This window comes from Homo sapiens, chromosome 12 (genome assembly GCF_000001405.40).
Source record: "Homo sapiens chromosome 12, GRCh38.p14 Primary Assembly".
Classification (NCBI taxonomy): Eukaryota; Metazoa; Chordata; class Mammalia; order Primates; family Hominidae; genus Homo; species Homo sapiens.
In genome coordinates this window covers 79,205,533-79,230,996 of record NC_000012.12, presented here as the reverse complement: position 1 = coordinate 79,230,996, position 25,464 = coordinate 79,205,533, and the positions used below count along the sequence as shown (strand labels likewise).

The window sequence follows — 25,464 nt, the reverse complement described above, 5'->3', positions numbered from 1 at the left end:
AAATGTAGTCTGTGGTTTGCTACGTGGTAAAAACAAAATAGATGTTAAAGCTATTTTAAAGTATATTCGTATGGTGTTTCAGCAAAGTAATTCCTGAATTATTTTGGATATAGGTCCAAAATCTTGTTCAAGCCCCTCATTTTCCTCAGGTGTGTTTTCTTAATATCTTTGAAATGCTAATGGAATGTAGCTGAATAAAGTTTAGAAACTTAGTTGCGATTTTAATTTACTTGGTGGCTTTTTGTGCTTACTGTTACTCTGTATTACCTGTGCTTTGGAAGTTTATAAAAATCCCTCAACACTAGTTTATAAAACAAAATCCAAGGAGACATATAAACAGCCTTCCTGAAATGTAGCATCAGTAGAATGTACTTTTGTTAGCATTCCACCTTGAATAGAGAATGTTGATAGAGTCCTACTGCACATTTGTTTTTTAAAATCAGTATTACCCCAGTTCATAACAAATATTTTATAATATTCCTTTTTTTCTGTCTCAAAGTGTAAATAAGAATATAACATACCTACCTACATAATTTTAAAATTAATAAAATTTGTCAACTATAATATAATGGAGAAATGACAGTAATTTATTTAAAAAATTCTATTTCAGTACAAAAATCTTCAGATGCAACTATACAATAAGACACAATGAAATAATCAAATGCTTGAAACTATGTAATACTAAAAAGCATGTTTAGATTTAGAGAAGACAATCAGAAGATTTTTTAAAAATCACAAGAAAATTGGAGATTAAAGGCTAGGTGGACATTAGAATACAAACTAGACTATTCCATGTATTCATATATGAGAGCCATGCAAAAACACTTTGTGTTTATACAGAAAATAGTTTTAGGTTCAGATAATTATAGAAAGGGTTTCCATCTACATGTATGTCCTATGGGGCTTTTGAAATTTGTGTGGGATTCAGAACAATTCTTCATTCTGTGAAACTGTCCCACACTTTACAGGATGTGTAGGGTCCTGTGACCATGCCCTCTAAATGCCAGGAGTTTCCTGCAGTTTTTAATATACTGAAAATGACCCCCAAAATATTTACACTGTGTTGTAGGAGCAGTGCCATCTCTATTAAGAACTACTGCTTGGCTGGGCGTGGTGGCTCACGCCTGTAATTCTAGCATTTTGGGAGGCTGAGGCGGGTGGATCACCCGAGGTCAGGAGTTTGAGACCAGCCTGGCCAATATGATGAAACCCCGTCTCTACTAAAAATACAAAAAATTAGCCAGGCATGGTGGTGAGCGCCTGAAATCCCAGCTACTTGGGAGACTAAGGCAGGAGAATCGCTTGAACCCGGGAAGCGGAAGTTGTAGTGAGCCGGGATTGTGCCACTGCACTCCAGCCTGGGCGACAAAGCAAAACTCTGTCTAAAAAAAATAAAAAAATAAAAAATAAAAAAAACCCTACTGCTTTAGGTGAACTTTCTGCCATAGGATTGTTTTTAATGGTAACTCTTAAAACACACGTACACGGTAGTACACACACAGACACACTTTCTATATTTTGAGTCAAAATTAAACTAAAATTATAAACTAAAGAAGATGATGAAATAAAATAAGACCTTATACATTTAAGTATCTATGTAATACTGCATTTGAACAAAGCAATCCTTGGCTAAAAAGGTTTGAAAACTACTGCTTTCTAGATCACAGTTTCTCCGAGCATGGCACAAGAACCGCACTGTTTGCTTTAATGTTAATTTTTGTAATTTGATATCTAAATAGTTGTTTGTAGCAGTAATTAACCTAGTCTCAAAGGAAACAGCTCCTCCTCCCCGTTTAGGCTGCCCCATGTATTGGAAGGACAGCTTTGCTGTTGTTCCTCATCCCAACACAGTGCCGAGAAGAGATCTGGATTTGATTAATGCCTTTGGTGTCAGACACTTTCAAGATGTGGGGGATACGAAGATGTGTAAGAAAATGGTCCTGCCTTTGGCTAATTTACATTTCAGTGAGAAAGGCAGAAAACCCCAGGTAACCAAAACAGTGAGAGATTTGAATGAAGAACTCTGAAAGGTTGGAGAAGACTCATATATTTCTGCCTTGGGAAATGAGGGAACCTCTCATCCAAGTGGTGACACTTGAACTGGCTCTTGAATGGCAAAAAAAACCCCAACAATGTATTAGGGTACTGGGGAAGGGGAATCCAGGAAGAGAGAAAATCATGAGGGGAGACAGTGGTGTAGTGAAGTGCTGGCTGGTTTTGAGAGACGTTCAAGGTAGTTCACATAACTTGAATGCAGGTACAGAATATGTGGTGAAATCGCTCAAGGAGTCAAGAATAATAGTGAGATTTTTTTATTTGAATGGCTAGGTGAATGAAACTGCCCAAAAAGAGCATGTAGAATAAACATGGAATAGGATTAAAAGAGAAACCCCAGAAAACAAGGACCTCTAACACCTAATGGGAGAAAAGATCATAACAAAAGAAGGACCAGTCAGTGAAGGAGAAGGGGAGGAAAGAAGAGGAAGAAAGGAGAGTGGTCCTGGAAGTCAAGAGTTTTCAGTAGATGAAGGCCAATAGTGATAATAATGCAGAAATATCTGAGCAACTGAATATTTGTAATAACCCTCGTAATTGTACATCGGGAAGTATCTGGGGACTTTAGTAAAAACAATTTTAATAGTATGCAAAGGATGGAAATTAGAGTGAAAGGAATTGAGTTGGTAATGGGAGTTGATAAAACAGATGTCAGGGTCCAGATTACGTTTTTAAATAAGTATGGTAGAGATGTGAAGGGAGGAGACAGAATGATAGCTTGATGGGAGAGGTAAAGTAGGGGAAGAAATTTTTAGAGCATAAAGGTAGAAAACTGGTATCCTTAAGAACCTACGATGTATGGAATTTTGCTAGGCATTATCAGATATGTGAATCTTGAGCATGTGTGTAGGCTAAAGGGAATGAAGGAGAGAGAAAGTAAAATTATAGGACCAAAAAAAAAAAAAATGGAGGAGAGGATGAAATAAGAAACACCAAGAGAGAATTTACCTTCTCTAACACAGAGATCATTGGAATGGGATTAAAGAATGCAATGCACTTGTATTTGGCTGCAAAGTTTCCGGAATTTTCTCAATTTGGGTGACTGACCTGAATAGAGGGTTTTTCTAAAATAGAAATAGACTTGTTAAAGTGACAGCTTGAGTTTAATAATAGCTACCATTTATAGAGCGCTTATTCAGTGCCAGACACTCTGCTAACGACTTCACATGCATTGACACCTTTACCAAACAACCCTATGATGGGAGTATTATTTTCATCCCCATTTTATATAGGAGGAAACTGATAGTCAGAAAAATTAATTAAGATGCCCAAGGTCACAAAGCCAGTATGCAGTGGAGCTAGGGTTTGAACTCTTGTAGTCTATGGCTAGAGCTTGTATTTTTAATTTCTGAATTAAACTGTCTATCCAATAACATTTCTGCATAAATTATACAACTATTCCTAATCCACTTGCTCTTATTCTGGACTAAGAGTCAAGTTCTGGCTATTTGACTTTCTACTGTGCTTAAAGAAAGGTGCACTCTACTTCAAGAAGCTCATGAATATCAAAGCCTTAATCACAGCTATTCAGATGACATGAGTTCATGCTTTACAGACCAACCATGGCCCTAGTCATATTAAAATCAAAGTTGCAAAATAAAAAAAATTCTAAAAAACCTTGTCTGCTTCATTTAGATAACAGTGTGAAGAATGAATTGAAAGATAAAAATGCTAAGCGTTTACCATTTCCTTCTCCTTTTTTTAAAAAAAATTTAAGCCTTAATTTAAAAAAATTAAGGCCTGGATGATATCATCAGGCAATTTGGTTTGAATATGTTTCATGCTGGACTGTGCAGATTACCCAACTAATGACATGCACACTCCTTGCCATTGTGACACCCCTCTTCTTACAAGTGGGAATTTCAAGTGACAGAGTAAAGCTGTTTGCTATCAATTTTGCAAAAAACACATCTGCCAGATAGCCAAGATTTAGTTCAGAGACTGAAATCAATTAATATTCTAATTTGTTACCCGTCATTAGCATCACAGTATGTTATGCCAAGTCAAAAGTGATAACCTTTATATATCTTATAGTCCTAAAGGAATTTGATTTTAAGGATGTGTTTTATTTTTGTTTAGTATTGCCTCCTGCATATAAATCCTATTAGAAATGTCAATTATATAGGCAGGAAAAATTATGACGGATTAAAATGAAAGTGTAAAATACATACTATTACACACTTTTAATAAATGGCATGGCTTTTATTTATGATGCTGTGTTTTCTAACATTGATTTAACATACCACTTTAAATAAATGGCATGGCTTTTATTTATGATGCAGTGTTTTCTAACATTGATTTACCATACCACTTTAAGGTTTTAGTTACCTTACTTTTTTCTTCCTGTTAAATCAAGGAGAGTGCTAGCAACATAATATTTTTTAGGGGTGGTACTCAGATTCTTTGACATTCTGTTATTTCAGGTTGCTGGTCAAAGGCAAATCTCCATGGACAAGCAGATTGTTTATCTGGTCTGATTTCCAGTGCCCAATAGAGGGACACAGGACTAAGACAATGGTTTGGGAAGGAAAAAGATGAGATTACCCAAGAGAAGCAAAAGAAAGGAGAGTTTCATAGATAATTTTTTTCCAGCTGATTGCTTTCCTACTAATGAATAGGGAGGAAAAAATAAAGTAATAGCTGGCTCTGAGTGAGAAAGGCTAAAAGATGGAGGAGTTGTGACCAAAGAAACAATTACATTTTCAACGTTTATGACACAGTCAAGCATTAAAATGATGCTTTCATAAGTGTTGGAAATTTAAAATGTATGATTTAGTAAGATGCTTAAATTTGTCAGCATATTAAGGCCTCAAAGTCTAAGAGGAATGGCTCAGGATACAAGTTAAATTGGTTGTCATTAATCCACTCATTCATCAAATATGTATTTAGTGCCTCATATGTGCTAGGCATGAGCATAAACAGACCCAACATATTGCCTTCAGAGAGCTTACATTATTTTGGAAGAAGCTAGAGCAATTTAAAACAAAATAATAAAATACATGATATTTCAGATATTGCTAAGTAATATGGTGGGAAATAAAGCAAGGATGGGGGACAGGAAATACTGGCAAAGATGGGGTGAGATGAATGGATTGCAATTTTAAATAGTGTGGTTGGGGAGGTGCTAACATTGGGCAAAGACCAAAAGGAAATGGGTAAATGAGTTAGGCTCGTATATGGGGAGCATTTCAATCCTATACTTATCAGCCTTGCCATGTGTCTCATGTTGTTTATTCTTCCAGAGAGGAAGATGGTGTTAAAAGCCAAGATATGAATTTGATTTATGTTGTTCATTGCTTTCTCTGCTTCTCTAGAACACATTTCTCCTATGTAAACATTTTGATAAAATATTCCTTAAGTGAAAGTTTGCACCCATAATATATGTATTTGGTTTATGCCTGGTAGTTATGACCTCAAAGTTATATCAAAAGTACCCGGAGTTTGTGTATCAGTCCATTAACTCAGCAGCAGAGCAAGGACAAGAACTGAGATTTTGTGTTTCCCATTCTAGTGTTCGATGTATTGGACCATCTTCATCTCTACTGGCTTACAAGTCTTCCTGCTAAGAATGGTAATTACTGACAACTGTGCTAAGTGTGTGTCTTAGATCAACTTGAACTTCTTAAAAGTGGACAGACAAATTAACAAGTTGCTAATTAATGAGGAATAAGAAGCTGATTCCTTGTATGCTTCATTTAGTTTTTCAGTGTCCTTATAGAATAATTCTCTTATAAATCTCTCATCCGGATTATTGCAACAACCTGCTTTCTCTTCTACCCTTGCCTCTCTATAGCCTGCTACCCCTGCTTTTTTTTTTTTTTCCACTGTAGCAAGAATAATCTTTTAAAAAACTCAAGTCAGGGCTGGGCGCAGTGGTTCATGCCTGTAATTCCAGCACTTTGGGAGGCCAAGGCAGGCAGATCACCTGAGGTCGGGAGTTCGAGACCAGCCTGACCAACATGGAGAAATCCCGTCTCTACTAAAAATACAAAAAATTAGCCAGGCGTGGTGGTGTATGCCTGTAATCCCAGCTACTTGGGAGGCTGAGGCAGAAGAATCGCTTGAACCCAGGAGATGGAGGTTGCAGTGAGCTGAGATCACGCCATTGCATTCCAGCCTGGGTAACAAGAGTGAAACTCTGTCTCTAATAATAATAATAATAATAATAATAATAATAATAATAATAATAAAAAATAAATAAATAAAAAATGAAACAAAACAAAAAAACCACCCGTCAGATCATGGGACACCTCTGCTCAAAAAGGCATTTTATTTCACTCAGTGTAAAATCTAAGTTCTTTAGAACAATTGACAAGGCCCCACATGACATGGCTTCTGCTACATTCAAATTTATCTTCTGCCAGTCTCCACCTCGTTCAATCTACTTAAGGCACACTGGGCTTCTTGCTCTTCCAGGTAGATTCTTACCTAAGGGCCTTGGTTCTATTTGCCAGGTTTTGTGATAGCTTCTCCTCCACTTCCTTCAGATCTCCTTATGAAGGAAACCAGCCCTGGTCATCCCCAAAATAACAACCTTTTATGCTTTTCCCCTTCCCTATTACATTTACACTATTATATTTTTCCTTACATCATTTATTAATATATATTTTCCTCTTTATTAATTTCTAACTTCTTTTCTTCACTAGAATATAAGCTCTGTGAGTGCTAAATATTTGTTCTCAGCATTTGGGAAAGTGCCTAGTACATAGTAAGTATTCATACTTGAAGAAAAAAGACTAAGTTGTAGTTTAAGATTCAAATTATATGCAACTGGACTGAGGCAGAGTAAGATGGAGGAGTAGGACTCTCCAGATACCATCTCCCACAAAATCATAAGTTTGAACAGCTATCCATGCATGAAAATAACTTCACAAGAGCTAAGGAAACCACATGAAAGCTCACAGTAACTGGTAGTAGCATAATACTAAGAAAAAATGCATTGAAGAGATAGGAAGGACAGTTCTACAACACCTGCATCACTCTTTCCCTAGCCCCAGGCAGCACAGGTGCAGAAAGAGATACTGTCAACTTGGGGGAAAGAGAGGGAAGCGAGCACAGGACTTTGCTTTGGAGCCTAGCATTGCAACTGCACAGTAAAACTCAGTACCAGGCAGACTACCACGGCCTTATATTCAAGACCTATACTGGTGACTGAGCCTCTAAACTTGCCCTGGTGCCAGGAGGGACCATAAAGCCCCAGGCTTCAGGCTCGTATGGCAAACTCGATCTCTGGTATGTATCGCCACTGGGTTGGTATCAGTTGTCTTGGGCTTCAGGTCACCCTCAGCAGCAGGCAGCATTAGTGGCCCTTGGCTTCAGCTGTCCCAGTACTGTGCTTGCTGTTGTGGACCTCAGGCTTCTGGCACCACTCTTATGGCCACAGTTGCCCTGAGATTCTGGAAGTGCCATGCTGGCCACAGCTGTCCCAGGCTTTGGTCTGCCCCAGTGCCATACCTGCTGTAGTGGGCCCTAGGCTTCTGGCAGCACTGCACTGGCTTCAGCTGCATCCAGCTGTTAGAGCACCTTAGTGTCTTTCCATTTGCATCTGCCTCAGGCTTCTTGCCCACTCCAGTGCTTCACCTGCCACAGTGGGCCCCAGGCTCTGGCGATGCCATGCTGGCTGCAACTGTCCTGGGCTTCTGATGCACTCTAGCACCACACCCTACTGCAGGGCTTTCACAGACAAAGCCTGTCTATGAAGACTGTGAAGACTGAAGTAAGTGCCTATTTCTTCAAATGCACAGACATTGATACATGATCATAAAGATCAAGAAGAATCAGGGAAACAAATCACCAAAGGAAAAAACTAAGGTGCAAGTGACTGACTGTAAATAAATGGAGAGGTATAAAATGCCTGACAAATAATTCCAAATAACTAAGGAAGCTCAGTGAACTTCAAGAAAACAAAATGAGAAAATAATATGAGACCAGAATAAGACATTTAATAGAGGTTTAAATAATAAAAAAGTATTCTTGGAGCTAAGAAATACAATGAATGAAATGAAAAGTGGAGTCAAGAAAAATATAATGAAAGAAAAAAAATGCAGTAGAGGGTATTAACAGCAGAACTGGTCAAACAGAAGAAAGAATCTTTGATTTTGAAGACAGCCTATTTAAAAATAGTCAGAGAAGAAAAAAGAATGAGAGGAAATGAAGAAAGCTCATGGGATTTATGGGACAGCATCAACAGAGCAAACAATCAAGCCATAGGAGATAAAAAAGAAGACAGAGACAAAGAGTGGGGAGCTTATTTAAAGTAGGCCAGGTGCAGTGGCTCACGCCTGGAATCCCAGCACTTTAGGATGCCAAGGTGGGTGGATCACCCGAGGTCAGGAGTTCGAGACCAGCTGGGCCAACATGGTGAAACCCTGTCTCTACTAAAAATACAAAAAATTAGCTGGGCATGGTGGTGGACACCTGTAATCCTAGCTACTTGGGAGGCTGAGGCAGGAGAATTGCTTGAACCTGGGAGGTGGAGGTTGCAGTGAGGCAAGATCGTGCCACTGCACCTCAGTCTAGGTAACAAGCAAAACTCCATCAAAAAAAAGAAAAAAGAAAAAAAAAGTAAATAAATAAATAGTAGCAGAAAATTTCTTAAACCTGGAGAAAGATGTAAGTATCCAGATACAGAAAAATCAAAGGTCTCCAATTAAATTCATTCCAAATAAGACTACCCCAAGACATATACTCAAGTTGTCAAGGATCAAAGACAAAAAAGAGGATCCTGAGAGCAGCAAGAGAAAAGAAGCAAATAATATATAAGGAAGTTCCAATACATCCAGCAGCCAACTTCTCAACAGAAATTTTATAGGCCAGGAGAGAGTGGAATATTATAAAACATGCTGAAGAAAAAAACTGCCAACAGAGAATAGTGTACCCAGCAAAGCTATCTTTCAGAAATAAAGGAGAGATAAAGGCTTTCCTAGACAAACAAAAGTTGTGGGAGTTCATTACCACCAGGCCTGTCTTATAAAAATACTAAGGGGAGTTCTTCAAGTTAAAAAAAAAGTTGCTAATGATTAACACAAAAACATTTAAAAGTATAAAATTTGCTGGTAAAAGTAAGTACACAGTCAAATGCAGAATACTATAACACTGTAATCCTGGTGTGTCATTTACTTATAAATTCAGTATGAAGGCTAAAAGGCAAAACAATTAAAAATAATAATAGCCACAATAATTTTTTAAAGGAATATGCAATATAAAATATGTAAATTTTGACATAAAAAATTCAAAATGTGGACAGTAGAGGAGTAAAATTGTAGAGGTTTTTTCATGATCAAAGTTAATTTGTTTTCAGCTTAAAATAACCTGTTATAACTATAGATGTTTTTTGAAAACCTCATGGTAACCACATAGAAGAAACCTCTAGCTGATATACAAAAAATGAAAAGCAAGGAATCAGACATACCACTAGAGAAAAATCATTTAGCCACAAGGGAAGACAGCATGGGAGAAAAGAGAGAAATAAACAATGTACAGAATAACTACAAAACAATTAATAATATGGCAGTAGTAAGTATTGATAATTACTTTAAATGTAAATAGGTTAAATTCTCCAATCAAAAGGCATAGAATGACTGAATGGATTTTAAAAAGATCCAGCTACATGCTGTCTACAGTTCATCTGTAAGGACATACAGAATAAAGGAATGAAAAAAGATATATAATGCAAATGGAAACCAAAAGAGAGCAGGAATAACTATATATGTGTATCAGATCAAATAAAATAAAAGCAAAAGTTGCAAAAAGAAATAAAAAGGTCATTATATAATGATAAAAATGGTCAAAATTCAGCAAGAGAATATAATAATTGCAAACATATATGCACCTAACATTGGAGCACCTAAATATGTAAAGCAAATATTAATAGACCTGAAGGGAGAGATCAACTGTAATACAATAATAATGACTTAACACCCCATTTTCAGTAATGGACAGATCATCCAGACAGGAAATCAGTAGGGAAACATCACCTAAACTACAATCTGCATCTAATCAGCCCAACAGACATACAGATTATTCTGTCCAACAGCTACAGAATACACATTCTTCTCAACTGCACATGAAACATTCCTCAGAATAGATCGTATGTGAGGCCACAAAATAAGTCTTAATAAACTTAAGAAGATTAAAACTATATCAAGTTATTTTTTTCTGACCATGATATAAAACTAGAAATCAAAAACAGAAGGGACTTTAGAAAAAATGCACAAATACATGGAAATTAAACAACATACTCTTGAATAAATAATGGGTCACTGAAGAAATGAAAAAGGAAACAAACATTTCTTGAAGACAAAAAATTTCTTAAGACAAATGAAAAAGAAAACACAATATAGCAAAACCTATGCAATACAGCAAAAGCAGTTCTAAGAGGGAATTTTATAGAAATAAATGTCTATTCCATCAAAGGAAGAAAAATCTTAAATAAATAGCCTAATGTTGAACCTCAAGAAATTAGAAAAACAAAGACAAACTAAGCTCAAATTTAGTAAAGGAAGGAAACAACAAAAATCAGAGCAGAAAGAAATGAAATAGAGACTACAGAAACAACAGAAAAGATCAACAAAACTGCATTTTTGAAAGTTAAACAAAATTGACAAACCTTTAGCAAGCCTAGCTAAGAGAAAAAAGAGAGAAGACTCAAATAAATAAAATAAGAAACAAAAAAGGAGATATTGCAACTGATACAATAGAAATGCAAAGGCTCATGGGACTCTTATGAACAATTATATACCAACAAATTGGATAACCAAGAAAACATGGATACGTTCCTTGATACATACAACCTACCAAGGTTGAATTATGAAGAAATAGAGTATCTTAATAGATCAGTAATGAACAAAAGATTGAATCAGTAATAAAAAATCTCCCATAAGTGAAGACCTTATATCTTCATTGCTAATCTCTATGAAACATTTGAAGAACTAATACCGTTTCTTCTCAAACTCTTCCAAAAATGGAAGAAGGAATACTTCCAAACTCATTTTACAAAGCCAGAAAAGCCCTGATAGAAATGCCAGACAAAGACACTACAAAATACCAATTACATTCTTCACAAAATAAAAATTTGTATGGAACCACACAAATCCCTAAATAGCCAAAGTAATCTTGAGCAAAAAGAACATTGCTGGAGGTAACACACTACCTGACTTCGAAATATAGTACAGAGTTATAGTTTTATACTATAGAGCTATAGTAATCAAAACAGCATGGTACAAGCATAAAAACAGACACATAGACGATGAAACAGAAAGAGAACCCAGAAAGAAATCCATACATTTACTGCCAACTCACTTTCAACAAAAGAGCCAAGAACCCACAATGGAGAAAGAACAGCCTCTTTAGTAAATGGTGTTGGGAAAACTGGATATCCACATGCATAAGAATGAAACTATACTCTATCTCACAACATGTACAAAAATCAACTAAAATGAATTAAAGATTTAAATATAAGATTCAAAATTATGAATCTAGAATAAAATGCAGGATAAAAATTTTATGACATGGTCTTGACAATAACTTTTTGGATATGACCCAAAAAGCACAGGTAATAAAAGCAAATAGACGAATGGGATTATATCAAACTAAATAGCTTCTGCACAGGAGAGGAAACAATCAACAAAATAAAGGGGCAATCTACAGAAGGGGAGAAAATATTTGCAAACTATACATCTGATAAGGGGTTAATGTCCAAAATATATAAGGACCTCAAACAGCAAGAAAACAAATAAACCAATCAAAAGAAGGGCAAACGACCTGACTAGACATTTCTCAAAAGAAGACATTTAAATGGTCAACAGAAATATGAAAAAATGCTTAATACCACTAATTATCAAGGCAATGCAAATTAAAGCCACAATGAAATACCACCTCAAACCTGTTAGAATGGCTATTATCAAAAAATCAAATATAAGTGTTGGCGAGGATGTGGAGAAAAGGGAACCCTTGCACACTGTTGGTGGGAATGTAAATTACTACAACCACTATGGAAAACAGTATGGAGATTTCTTTAAAAATTAAAACTAGAACTACCATATGATCCAGCAATCCTACTACCCGGTATGTATCCAAAGAAATGAAATCAATATGACAAACAGATATCTGCACTCCCATGTTTGTTGCAGAAATTTTCACAATAGCCAAGACATGGAATCAACCCAAGTGTCTTATCAGTGGATGAATGGACTGTGGTACATCCACTTGAGAGATACCATTCAGCTATAAAAAAATGAAATCGTGGTATTCGTGACAACATGAATGAACCTGGTGAACATTGTTAAGTGAAATAATCCAGGCACAGGACATAAATAATACATGATCTCACTCATATGTGAAATCTAAAAAAGTTGATTTCATAGAAGTAGAGAGTAGAATGGTGGTTACCAGTGGCTGTGGTGATTGTGGGGAGGTGGCAATTGGGGAGATGTTGGTCTAAGAATACATTTCAGTTACAGAGGAGAAATAAGTTCGAGAGATCTTTTGCACAACATGATGTTTATGTCTACAACATGATATTTTGATACATTGTGGAATAACTGAATCCTGCTAACTGACATATGCATAATCTCACATAGTTATTTTTGTGGTGAGAACACTTTATATTCACTCTCAACATTTTTCTGGAATACACCATAGATATATTATTAATGATAGCCAACATGTTGTACAATAGTATGATTTTATCTGTCAGTGTAAAAATAAAATTAAAAAATTAAATGTCACTGATTAGACTTAGTGCTATACTTATCCAAATAAACTTAGGTGCAGTTTTTTTTAATGACAATAAGGAAACTTTAAAAAATAACAATAAGATTTTTAAATGATGACAAATGAATGACAGAAAATCAAACCTGCGATATTGGGAAAGCAAACCTTAGCTATTGTTCAGAAACAATCTTTGCAATGAAATAATTTCATAAATGCAAATCCAAAATAAATATAACAGAACCCATAAACATTAATATTCTTGAGAGAAACAGACACCAAAGAAAACAACCTACCTGTATTAAATACAAGCTGCAGACTTTTTTTTTTTTGTAAACTGGATTTTCATTTATGAAGTATATTTAAAGACAAGAAGAATATTCCATTTCCAAGAATATTTCATTTTATATTGGGATACTATCATTCCCATAGTAATAAATTAAATGTAAATTTATAGTATATCAAACGGAGTTCTACTTTCTTTCCAATGGATGGGGTATTTTTCAACCACTTATTTTTACTCAAGTACTAATATAGAATACTCACATGGAATTTTATGCAACTCATTCATAAACTTCTCCTTCAGCTTAGAAAATGCATCTTCCTTTCCTTCTCCAGGACTGGCTGGCTCTGTGGCGTTGCTTGGCAGAACAGTCGCGACAGTGGTGACAGGCGGGGCTGCCAGGGCCTCATGGTGACTCTCGCTCACCATTTTAGGTTCAGGTGAAGCTGTGAGGGGAGGGAAGCAAAGACAGAACAATTCAAAATGGCTTAACTGCTCCCACATCAAAGGTATCCCAGAGATGAAACAACATCAGAGGTGGCACCTGCTCACTGGGTAAATAGTCCATCATTAGCATATTGCTTTGTGTTGGTAAATGAAATATTTATGGAACCACAGCGAGTGAAGAGTTCTTCCCCAGAAGGTAAGACCAGACATAGTTACTGAATAGCATTCTATTCCAGCAATACTATGTATACTGTCAAATCTATTAGTTATTTATACAGCCAATTATTTGCTGTGTAGATTTAACTTTTAACCCATATCTTACCAAAACGTGTATGAAACAATTCTTGATGAAATACATGCTTTATACTTTAAATATTTTGTATTTTCTAAAAGGAAGAAAGAGATAAAATATTTGTATTGGAAATGTTGATAAATGATAACATGTACTCAAAATGCTAGTGACTTTAAAAATGGTTATAAGTAATATTATTCATAATATTGATACTCTAAGATGTTATGAATATATTACAGTAATTGGTTCTTGAATCTTATTTATTGATGGTAAGTTTTCACCCCAGTCACTTTTTTCACATTTATTGTAAACAATACTCTGATCAATAATTTACTTGTCTTGCTGGGTAATTATTTAAGTCACTATAAATGTGGCATGGTTGACTATATATATCAAGGTGCTGCTAATGAAACATAACTTATAAGTTTAGATATTTTACTTTATTTAGCTTATTTAATTAGAATATTTTATTTTATTAATGTATTCAATTATTTTAAGTATTTGTTTACCTCCAAAATATGCCAAAATAATTAATAAAGTAATCAATACAAACAGCTGTGAATTCAGAAGACATCAGTTCTCATCCTCTTCACTAGTTAAATAAACTTTAACAGGGCATTTGACATCCTAATTTATCCACCTTCTGAAATATGAAGAACTAAAACCTGCCCTTCCTGGATTTTTCTTAGAACACGTGAAGGTACAAATGTAAGGAAGGTATTCTAAGGGAGTAGAAATGAACGAATATTCTCCATTCTAAAAATATTCCAGACTTTGTAATTTTCCTGCAGAACTTAAGATTTCAGGCTTTCTGAGGAAAGAATGGGCATGATTTGGGGCAGAAATAGATAAGTAAAGAGGCCTGGACAGGATTCACTTCACGTTCTTAACAGGAAAGTAGACGAACTTATAAAAACCTTTTAATTTGCAAAGACGTGGAGATAACCAGCAAACAAGATTTTTTTAAAAATGAAATTTAGTCTGGGCGTGGTGGCCCACTCCTGTAATCCCAGCACTTTGGGAGGCCGAGGCAGGCGGATCACTTGAGGTCAGGAGTTCGAGACCAGCCTGGCCAACATGAAGAAACCTCATCTCTACTAAAATATAAAAATTAGTCAGGTGTGGTGGCAGGCACCTGTAATCCCAGATAGTCGGGAGGCTGAGGCAGGAGAATAGCTTGAACCCGGGAGGCAGAGGTTGCAGTGAGCCAAGATTGTGCTACTGCACTCCAGCCTGGGCTACAAGAGCGAAACTCTGTCTCAAAAAAAAAAAAAAAAAAAAAAAAAAAAAAGAAAGAAATGCAAACGATTTGTGAGTTGGTCATGCATAGTTACATATTTAGTGAAAGTACAATTGAAAATAGAATAATCTCAGATGCATAAGATTCTTATTAAAATCTTAATCAAAATCCAGAGATTTTGGATCTACTTCCAGGAGATCATGGCTGAGGCTAACACATATACATAGATACGAATTTTTATTTTATAATTGACTATTTCTCTCTCTCTCTTTTATGAGATAGGGTCTTGCTCTGTTGTTAGGCTGGAGAGCAGTGGCGAGATCATAGCTCATTGCAGCCTTGAGCTCCTGGGCTCGCATGATCCTACTGGTTTCAGCCTTCTCAAGTATTTGGATTACAGGTGTGAGCCACCGCACCTGGCCTTGTTCTCTTTTTTAAGTTTTTAATTTTCCATTACTAGCTACCAATATAATCCTAAAGGGTAGAATTGGACAGATATCGGCTCAGATCTTCTTCGTTTTTCAGTTTCTTCTTTTGTAAAATGAGGATAATCAGACCAAATCTGTAAGGTTTTTATGAGTATGAAATAATTTATGCAAAAAAATTAGCATAGTGTCTGGCATATTAATTTGTTCCATTGCTCCATTGTTCAATTGATCCACTGGCATATTAGTTTGTTCCAGAGATCAGTGGATCAATGGAACAGACTACCAGTGGATCAATCAATTGATTGATCAATTGATTTATCCACACATCTCTAATAGCACTTGGCCTCCCAGAATTGTCCAGAATGTGGAAATTTTTTGTTTCCAACTCAAGTCACGTCCCAGAAGCTTTTTCTGATTATCTGATTTTGTTCAGTTTAGGAGCTCATCTCCCTGGAAAACTTTGAAGTTTTGTTTGCTCTGTTGATACAACTTGGGTAAAACTGTTGATATTAATGATGTCCTAACTTCTGTATTTCATTGAGTCAGCCAGACTAAAATTGTACACACACACACACACACACACACACACACACACACACATATACACACATTATTACAGGCACGTATTCAAAAAATTAATTTTTCCTTTGCTGTGAGAAACACCAGATGTGACACACATTATTACTTATCTCTGTACAGGATAGTTGAAGATATTTGAGGACTTATGGCTTACTGTAGAATTTAAAGGAAATGATTGAGTTAAATGAAAATAGCTAAGTACAATAGCTCCATCATTACATTAAAGGTATATTGCTCAACTATGTTTCTGCTTAATTTTTGTCCAGTTGTAGAGGTGGGATATTGTTGCTGGTCATTCAGACTGATGTTCAGCTCCTACTTTCAAGTGATTACACAGTTGTTTCTAGCCTTTGTGTGTACTGATAGCTGGATCCTCCTTCACTTCTTGAGTTGCTAAATAGTTTTCATTTTACTCCAGCTTATAATTGTACATAAAAAATTTCTACATATAGTTTGAAAGACATAAAAGACTATAGGAACAATAAGACTTTTGCTAAACAGGGTCAACATTTAGAAAATGTTCTTAAAGTTACCCAGCTTTTTTTTAAGGGAAGCAAAGAATGTTTCTATAATTTCCAAACCAATCCTCTATAGACATAAAATACCCTTGGAAGGTGTTCATCAGAAAAGTAAGAGCTATAAGCTTTTAACTCTTACCAGCCAATGATATCATCCCTGTTAATTCTTATTTTTTAATCAAAAAAAGATTGTAAGAAATATAGACAAAGTTCTTTTTACTTAGTGCATACCACTGTGAAATTTAAAAAAATCATAAAATACAAAAATGTTGTGGGTAATTGAGGATCTAATATACTGACAAAGACTAAGGGATTGCCTAGTGTTTTATTTTTATTCCTTCATATCTTGAGAGATAATATTGTTTGTAAATAGCAAACCTAAGAATAGTTACTTGGTTCTTGAAAATTCATATTTATGGAAATAAAATGCTTATCAGGAGGCATCATTTTGTGGATGAAAAAATTAGCTGATTATTCAGTCCTGGCTAATGTGATGACTTCATTTTTTGTTTTTTATTTTTTTGAGACACAGTATCGCTCTGTAGCCCAGGCTGGAGTGCAGTGGTGCAATTTCTGCTCACTGCAACTTCCATCTCTTGGCTTCAAGCAATTCTGCCTCAGCCTCCTGAGTAGTCAGGATTACAGGCACCCACCAACACACCTGACTAATTTTTGTATTTTCAGTAGAGACGGAGTTTCACCATGTTGGCCAGGCTGGTCTCAAACTCCTGACCTCAAGTGATCCGCCCGCTTCGGCCTCCCAAAGTGCTGGGATTACAGGCATGAGCCATCAGGCGCCCAGCCTGATGACTTTATATTCTTTTATGTACATAGTTTGCTTATTCAGAAAAAAAGATATTCTACTCAGTCTTTAAAAAATAAGCTAACAGTTATTGAGCACCCGCTAAGTGGTTTACACATATTAAAGCATATAATATTTCATATTATTCTCGTTAATAATTATCACCCATTTCATAGGTGAGGAAAGTAAGTCATAGGAGGTTATACAGTAAAAGCCAGGCAGTTAAAGTCATATAGTAGTAATTAATGGAGTTGGGATTTGAACCAAGGTGTCTTAGCCACTATAGTATCAAAAGACTTGGAAACTATGAGACAAGTATCCAATATAATCCTGTTTTTTGGAGGAGTTTTTGGATACAACCCATAGTTAAGAGGTTATTTTACATTGTCATCCAGTATATACACTCTGTCTGCCTAGATATTATATACTGAAGAGAAGTTTCGCATAAAAACACTTCTGTGAAATACTTGGATAAATTCAATTCTACTCTATTCTTTATCACTAAAAAATTCTAGTTGTATCTCAAAGTTGTGTACATTAGTTTCACAATCCACTCATGATTTGATACCTGCAGTTTGAAAAACCACTAAAATAAAGGACATATTAATATAAAATAACACCAAAAGGGGCTAATACTAATGATTCCATTTATTAGGCACCTACTTTGTGCCAAAATACTGTTGTTGATATTTAAGGAGAAAATTCTCAATTCCTATTACAACCCTGAAAAGTAACTCAATCTTATTTTACAGAAGTAACTGGAGTGTGGCTTTCCCAGGATTAAGTGATTGGTCCTACACAGATTTAGCCTGATCCAAGGTTCCTTCTACTGGTCTACTCTACTAATAACATTTAAGCATCATTAAACAATTAAATCAGTACTGAAGAAGTATTTATGATTTTCTTTTGAATCTATTTGCCAGTAAATGGAAGACACAAGTCATCTTACTGAAAGGAAACATAGTACTTAATTTTAGAGACACAGTCATTTAGTTTGTTAAAGTGGAATTCAGCATCCTGAAATATACCAAGAAAAATATTATTGAATAGACAATTAAATTATCAAGAAAAATATTATTGAATAGAAAATTAAATTATCTTCTAAAAGAAAGTCCAGCACAGGCAATTTTCTTTTTTTTTTTTTCATTTTACTTTAAGTTCTGGGATATATGTGCAGAATGTGCAGGTTTGTTACATAGGTATACATGTGCTGTGGTGGTTTTAAGCACCACATGCATTAGGTATTTGTCCTAATGCTCTCCCTCCCCTTGCCTCCCACCCCTGAAAGGTCCGGGTGTGTGATGTTCCCCTCCCTGCATCCATGTGTTCTCATTGTTCAACTCCCACTTATGAGTGAGAACATGCGGTGTTTGGTTTTCTGTTCCTGTGTTAGTTTGCTGAGAATGATGGCTTCCAGCTTCATCCATGTCCCTGCAAAGGACATGAACTCATTCTTTTTTATAGCTGCATAGTATTCCATGGTGTATATGTGCCACATTTTCTTTATCCACTCTATCATTGATGGGTATTTTGGTTGGTTCCAAGCCTTTGCTATTGTAAATAGCAGCACAAACAATTTTCAAAGAAAGAAATACAAACTCCTCTACCTCCTGACAAAAACTAAAAGCAAAATCTTAAAAAATTTAACTTCACAAATAAAGAACTGCAAATTAAAATAACAGTGGGATAACATATTCATTTATAAATCTGGCTAAATATAGATAGTGAAGGTGAGGGTACAAGAAACTGGGCAATTAGGAAGGAGACTAGATTAGGAGGATACTTTATAGATACCAAACTAACAGAACACATCAAAAAGTTTAGAAAGGCACATATACACCATGGAATACTATGCAGCCATAAAAAATGATGAGTTCATGTCCTTTGTAGGGACATGGATGAAATTGGAAATCATCATTCTCAGTAAACTATCACAAGAACAAAAAACCAAACACCGCATATTCTCACTCCTAGGTGGGAATTGAACAATGAGATCACATGGACACAGGAAGGGGAATATCACACTCTGGGGACTGTTGTGGGGTGGGGGGAGGGGGAAGGGATAGCATTGGGAGATATACCTAATGCTAGATGATGAGTTAGTGGGTGCAGCGCACCAGCATGGCACATGTATACATATGTAACTAACCTGCACAATGTGCACATGTACCCTAAAACTTAAAGTATAATAATAATAAAAAAAAGAAAGGGTCATTTTTCTTCTAGAAATTCTCAATAAAAAATTAATCTTAAATGGATATAAAAGCAATTTAATATAAGGATGTTTGTAGTAACATTATTTACAATATTAGAAGTGCCAGAAATTATCCAACAGAGAGACCTCTTAATTATAATGATCTATAAAATGATGTTATAAAAAGTATCTAAAAGGTAGCCATCTATAAACCTGGAAATACATGGGAGTGTTAGGTAAAAACACAAATTATGAGACAGTATATAAAGTGTCCAGTTTTTCTTTAAGAAATCTTTTGCAGAGAAGAGGCTGGAAAGATGCATTACAAAGTGTTAGCCTTGTGGAAGAATACCCACTTTTCCCCTATATGTCTACATTCTCAAAATATTGTAAACCTGAATTATTTTAAATTACAAAAAGAAAAAAAATCTTTAAAACTTTTATTCTGGAGAAAACTGGATCTTGCAGAAGAGGTTTAATTTCCTAATGTCAGATTTTCAAAAAAAAAAAAAAAACTTTAAAATGTAATTCAGAAGCTAAATCTCAAGAATGAATGATGCAGCTACATATTTAACCAATATGTAAAATGGCCACTGGCTAAAATACAATGTAGAAAAGATATGAAGGTATCATTAAAATTTATACTTTTGTTAGAACTAGAATTTGATCCAGCAATCTCATTACTGGGTACCTTTCCAGAGGAAAATAAGTCATTATATGAAAAAGATACTTGCACATGCATGTTTATAGCAGCACAATTCGCAATTGCAAAATCATGGAACCAACCCAAATGTCCATCAATCAATGAGTGGATAAAGAAACTGCGGTATATTTATGCAATGGAATACTACTCAGCCATGAAAAGGAATGAATAAACGGCACTTGCAGCAACCTGGATGAGATTAGAAACTATTATTCTAAGTGAAGTAACTCAGGAATGGAAAACCAAACATTGTATGTTCTCACTGATATGTGGGAGCTAAGCTATGAGGATGTAAAGGCATAAGAATGATTCAACAAACTTTGGGGACTTGGGAAAAGTGGGAGAGGGGTGAGAGATAAAAGACTACAAATATGGTGCAATGTATACTGCTTGGGCTATGGGTGCATCAAAATCTCACAAATCACCACTAAGGAACTTACTCATGTAACTAAATACCACCTGTACACCAATAAGTTACGAAAAATGAAAAAAAAATGAGATATGAAAAAAAGTTTATAGTTTTGTGGTATAAAATGAGGAAAATCAGGATTTTGATTGCTATGACAACTTCCCTCTGTCCTCTTAGAAATTATTCTTCTTAGTAGGACTTTAATTATACCTATCTCTAGATCTACAAATTAATATAGATTTCTCAGATTACATAGTAAGATAGTCTACTATACTGCAATAGCATCATGATTTTTAGACAAAGCATTATTTCCATCTCTATTTAAGTATTGTATTTTATAACAATAGCATGCAAAATTAAAGCACATACAGGAGGAGGTCGAAAAAATATTACTAAAAAAAGTCTTCTAATGCAGAAAAGTCCCATATTGAAACTAACTCTTGGAATAATTATTAAAAAGAAGCTGGGAGATATTATGGAAGGTGTTAGAGTATATTTTGAGGTGGAGGGCAGAATGTAGTGATTTTATTCCATCCAAGTTTTCCTTGATCTGCTGTGGGTATAGGTAGAATCCGTAAGTGAGGGCCAGGTCTATTCAGTTCTTCCCATGCCCTGGGGCTTTCAAGAATAAGGATTTCAGCCTCTTCCCCCAGCTTCAGGCAGTGCTGCCTGCTGATTGCTCACAGCCAGGGAGTCACTCCAGAGAAATTGCCCTTGACCAAAAGCAGCTGCCTTGCTGAAGGTTAAACCCCCTTACCCAGGAATGGCCTTCACACAATGAGTGGTGGATGCTGGCCTCGATTTAGTTCATCTCTGAAGGACACTGCAGGATCAGCTAAAGCCTGTTGTAATGGCATATCAGTTCAGCAAGCATCTCCCCTTCTGCACATCTGCTTCCTTCAGTTTCTTACATGGAGAACATTTCCTAGTAAACTACCTCTGATTGAGAGCAGGTTCCCAGGGAATCTGACCTATAACACCTACTCTGAAATATTTTTGGAAAAAAAATGAACCACTGTCAAAGCTTTCATTTAAATTCTTTCCAAATCCAAAGATCCTTAGGCAGTTAAGTAAAGCCTAGCAGCATATCAAAATCCTCCATAAGTTTGCAGATGTTTGAATGTCAGGCTTGAGGTGTATCTTCTGTCTAGTTCAAACATAATTTCTCTTGAGGGAAGTAAGTGGGAAGCAAGAGATTGAACAGCCCTGTCACTATGGATGAGAGCTGACTTATGGCAGTAGTTCCAAAGAAACAGCTACTGAAGAAAGGTTGTTTTTCAGACCTTACAACAACTGGAAGCACAGCAGTTTGGCTAACCTAAAACACCCAGGTGCCTGGATTCTTCCATTTTTTCCAAAATGGATCTAGTTACCTCCAGATTTTACCCATTCAACAAGTCACAAAAATTTCCTCAGAGGTGTAGGGAGATTTTTTTTTAAAGAGTATGCCTTCCAGGAAGTATTTCTCATAGTGCTTTTGCAAATTGAATATAACTGGGCCTTCTTAGGTTTACTTTAAGAAGAGAACAAACATTCTTCCGCAATGTCACAAATCCCACAATACAAACATTGAAGAGGTGTGTAGAGGTGTTATGCTGAAGATGTCTTTGGAAGAATGTAAGCAGAAGGAAATATTGCATGCTCACCAGCTGCCTTTCCTAAGAATCCCCTTTAAATATCTCTTTTCCCCCTACTATATGTCTTCTCTCTTCCTTCTTCAGAAATTCTCCGCAGCTTCCTAAGCCCTATTGGCTTTCCTTCTCGTATCCCTCTCTCCTGTCTGCCTCTCTTCTCATTCTGATCGAAATGCTTCAGTCTCCATTTCCTCTTATAACCCTTCCTTGGTCTTAACTTTTTCTTTTCTTTCTTTGATTATTTTTTTCCCTAATGGGAGAACAAGAATCATTTTTAGTTAGGTCTCACTTACCATGTACTAAAGACTTGATGTAAGTAATGAGAATTTAGTGAGCTTTATGCTTTGTGTGCAGTTGGAGAATAGGAGAATAAGACATCAATTCACACCATTAAAGCAGCCCACGAGTTTCTGCTTGCTGACCCTTCCTCCCATTATGGAAACTCAAATATGCCCCCACAATGTCATCTCCTGAAACCAATAGTGGTAAATTACAACTCATAGTTATCTTCTTGACATTGTTAGATAATTGGGAACATGACTCTGATTTCCAGGAAGCAGGTGGGAAAGCATGAAGAAGAAGTAGCAAATAGGACCAGGAATTAGGAAATTTGGGCCCAAAAAGGATACGTGCAGAGAGATGCAGCTGTAAGTTTCTCAAAATGAACAAATAGCTTAAAAGGCAAATGTTTGTGTTAAAAACCAGGGGTTAAACTGTTTAAGTAGCTAGGTAATCCTACTTCCAGAGGTTGGAAAACTGACTTACCAACTTGCAAATTTCATATTGTTAATGAGAATTCTTTCTTGTTTTTTCTTATGTAGTTTGCTAGATTCTCCAGTGTTCATTCCCTCCCATCCCTGTCTCTTGAAGTTGAGCAAAAGCTTAGGAGCCGTCGTTCTTAAAGATGGAAGGAGACTGGTTATATTAAGAATTTAGCTATTTTCCCATCTAATCCTAATTTTCATTGTTTAAAAATCATAATAACATCCTGTGTCAAAAAGTGTCATTTTTTTCTAGATTTGTTTCCAAGCTGGCCCAACTAGTTTAACATCTCTATATCTTTTTTCTTTTTTTAAACTTTGTTTTTCATTGCATGTTCTCACTCATAAGTGGGAGCTGAACAATGAGTACACATGGACACAGGGAGGGGAACAACACACCGGGGCTTGTTGGTGGGGCAGGGAGAGCATCAGGACAAACAGCTAATGCATGAGGGACTTAATACCTAGGTGATGGGTTGATGGACGCAGCAAACCACCATGGCACACGTTTACCTATGTAACAAAGCTGCATGTCCTGTACATGTATCCTGGAACCTAAAATCAAATCAAATTAAAACAAACAAAAAACTTTGTTTTCTCTGAGGAGAGATGGATCTAACCCTTGATCCTAAAGGTGGTGGGTGGGAGATGTACTCAAAGTATGAAATCCAGTGTGTGCCCATCGATAGCTCCTTTTCAGTAAAATTGTTCTCATGGCTCTAAAGGTGGGAAAGAGCTCATGCACATTGTGTGACCACCCCCTACAGCATAGTCACAGCAAATTTGAGGAGGAATGTGTACCTGATTCAATGGCAGCTCATTGGACTGAGGCCAATGACACTGTTTGGCATGAAAAGGTGAGTTAGGCAATAAGAATCATTCCCTAGGAATTTAAACTATGAAAAACTTTGAAGAAACTAAGGCATAGAGAAAAAAATAAACATGCTCATTGTCACAGAGTTAATAAGTGGTGAAGCCAGGATTCCAGTATGGCTATCTGATCCCAGGGCTCACATCTGTGATCACTGTCCAATGTCATCCTTGCAGTTACTCCACTTCTGTTGGCCTGGTTTTCACCTCGATCTGAGTTTCACTACATAGTATCCCACTTGATGATGATCTAAGTATCTGCACCTTGTAATCAAGAAAGTATTATGAGAAACAAAACCTACTGTGTGGAGTCACTAGTCTTGTTAGTTTCTGGATCATTTGAATTTATAGCCAGAAGTAATGAATTTTGTCAGTAACTCTTCACTGTGCATTCCTAACTGCACATGGAAGACTGTTAGAACTGAGAGCATTGAGTGATGTGGGATCCCATCATGGAAGCTAAGGAAAATGCCATGGAGACTGATGGTTGAGTGATGGATTAAACACTCAACTGAATACATTCTTTCACAATATTTTTTTTCACATTTTTTACATCTTTGAAATGGGGATTTTTCTTAAAATCTGTGGTATCTTACTATCACTGTCTGCCAGGCCCAGTTGTTATTTGCTCAACGTACGCTCAACACAGTTATTATTCCTGCTGATGTTCCAGTCAACAAATCACTCAAAGGTGACTTAAAGAAGGGATCTGCATCTGGGTTGTCGTCTGAAACCTTTTAATATTGGCTTTACCATCAAAACTAGCAGAATGAGAGTCAAGCAATTTGGAAGATTTTGGAGGCAACAGTAAAGCAATATTTGCAGAAATGGTATCTGAAAAAAAGAGCATTATCAAATCTGAGTATTGAGAACAGATTTAGAAATTTTAGAAATTCATTAACCAATTTATTTTGCTTTTATTTTTGTTTTTTTTGTGTGCACAAGAGTGACAAAATGAAATCTGTCTAAATAAGTCTAAATAATCTTTTAATACAAAATAAAATTCAAATTATATGAAACCATTTTTGAAACTGTTTTCAACATGCTTCCTTAGTGCTATATAAAATAATGGTGCATCTTGTAGTTAATGGTCTCTTAGAGTACATGAAATACGTATTTCCTAAAGAATGAGGAGAAAATATGAGTATTGTTTATAAATAATGTATTGGAAAGGGAAAACTTAAAAAAAATTTAAACAAACTGTGTTTCTCGTTCTCAGAAGATCAATTACAATTATATTTAGCAATTGTAGTCAACATGAATTTCAGAAGAACTAGCCAAAATAAAAATAAATCCATGAGCCAAGTGAAAACTATATTCATTGCTATGTTATTTTCCCCTTTGGACCTATATTATTGAGAATAAAAGAATGGAAACAAACTGGCAAAACATATCCAAGAGAAAATTCAAGTACTGAATTACTAAAGTGATATACAGAAAATCAGAAGGTTTTATACAAACCTGAACATTTTCCACCTACAATAGGGATGTGAATCTTAAAAATATGGTACATCAGAATTGTAACTAAAAACGTATTCA

General features: G+C 35.8%; 1 protein-coding gene across 16 annotated transcripts in view; it reads right to left on the bottom strand.

Annotated features, from left to right (window-relative positions):
- The window catches only part of SYT1 (synaptotagmin 1), a 588,027-nt gene that overhangs the window by 221,012 nt on the left and 341,551 nt on the right, over positions 1-25,464 (bottom strand). For all 16 annotated transcript variants that reach the window (NM_001135805.2, NM_001415940.1, NM_001415943.1 and 13 more), the window contains one exon: positions 13,312-13,494. In NM_001135805.2, the coding sequence (NP_001129277.1) occupies positions 13,312-13,477 (166 nt within the window). In that variant the 5' untranslated portion in view covers positions 13,478-13,494. The remainder of the gene's footprint in view (positions 1-13,311; positions 13,495-25,464) is intronic.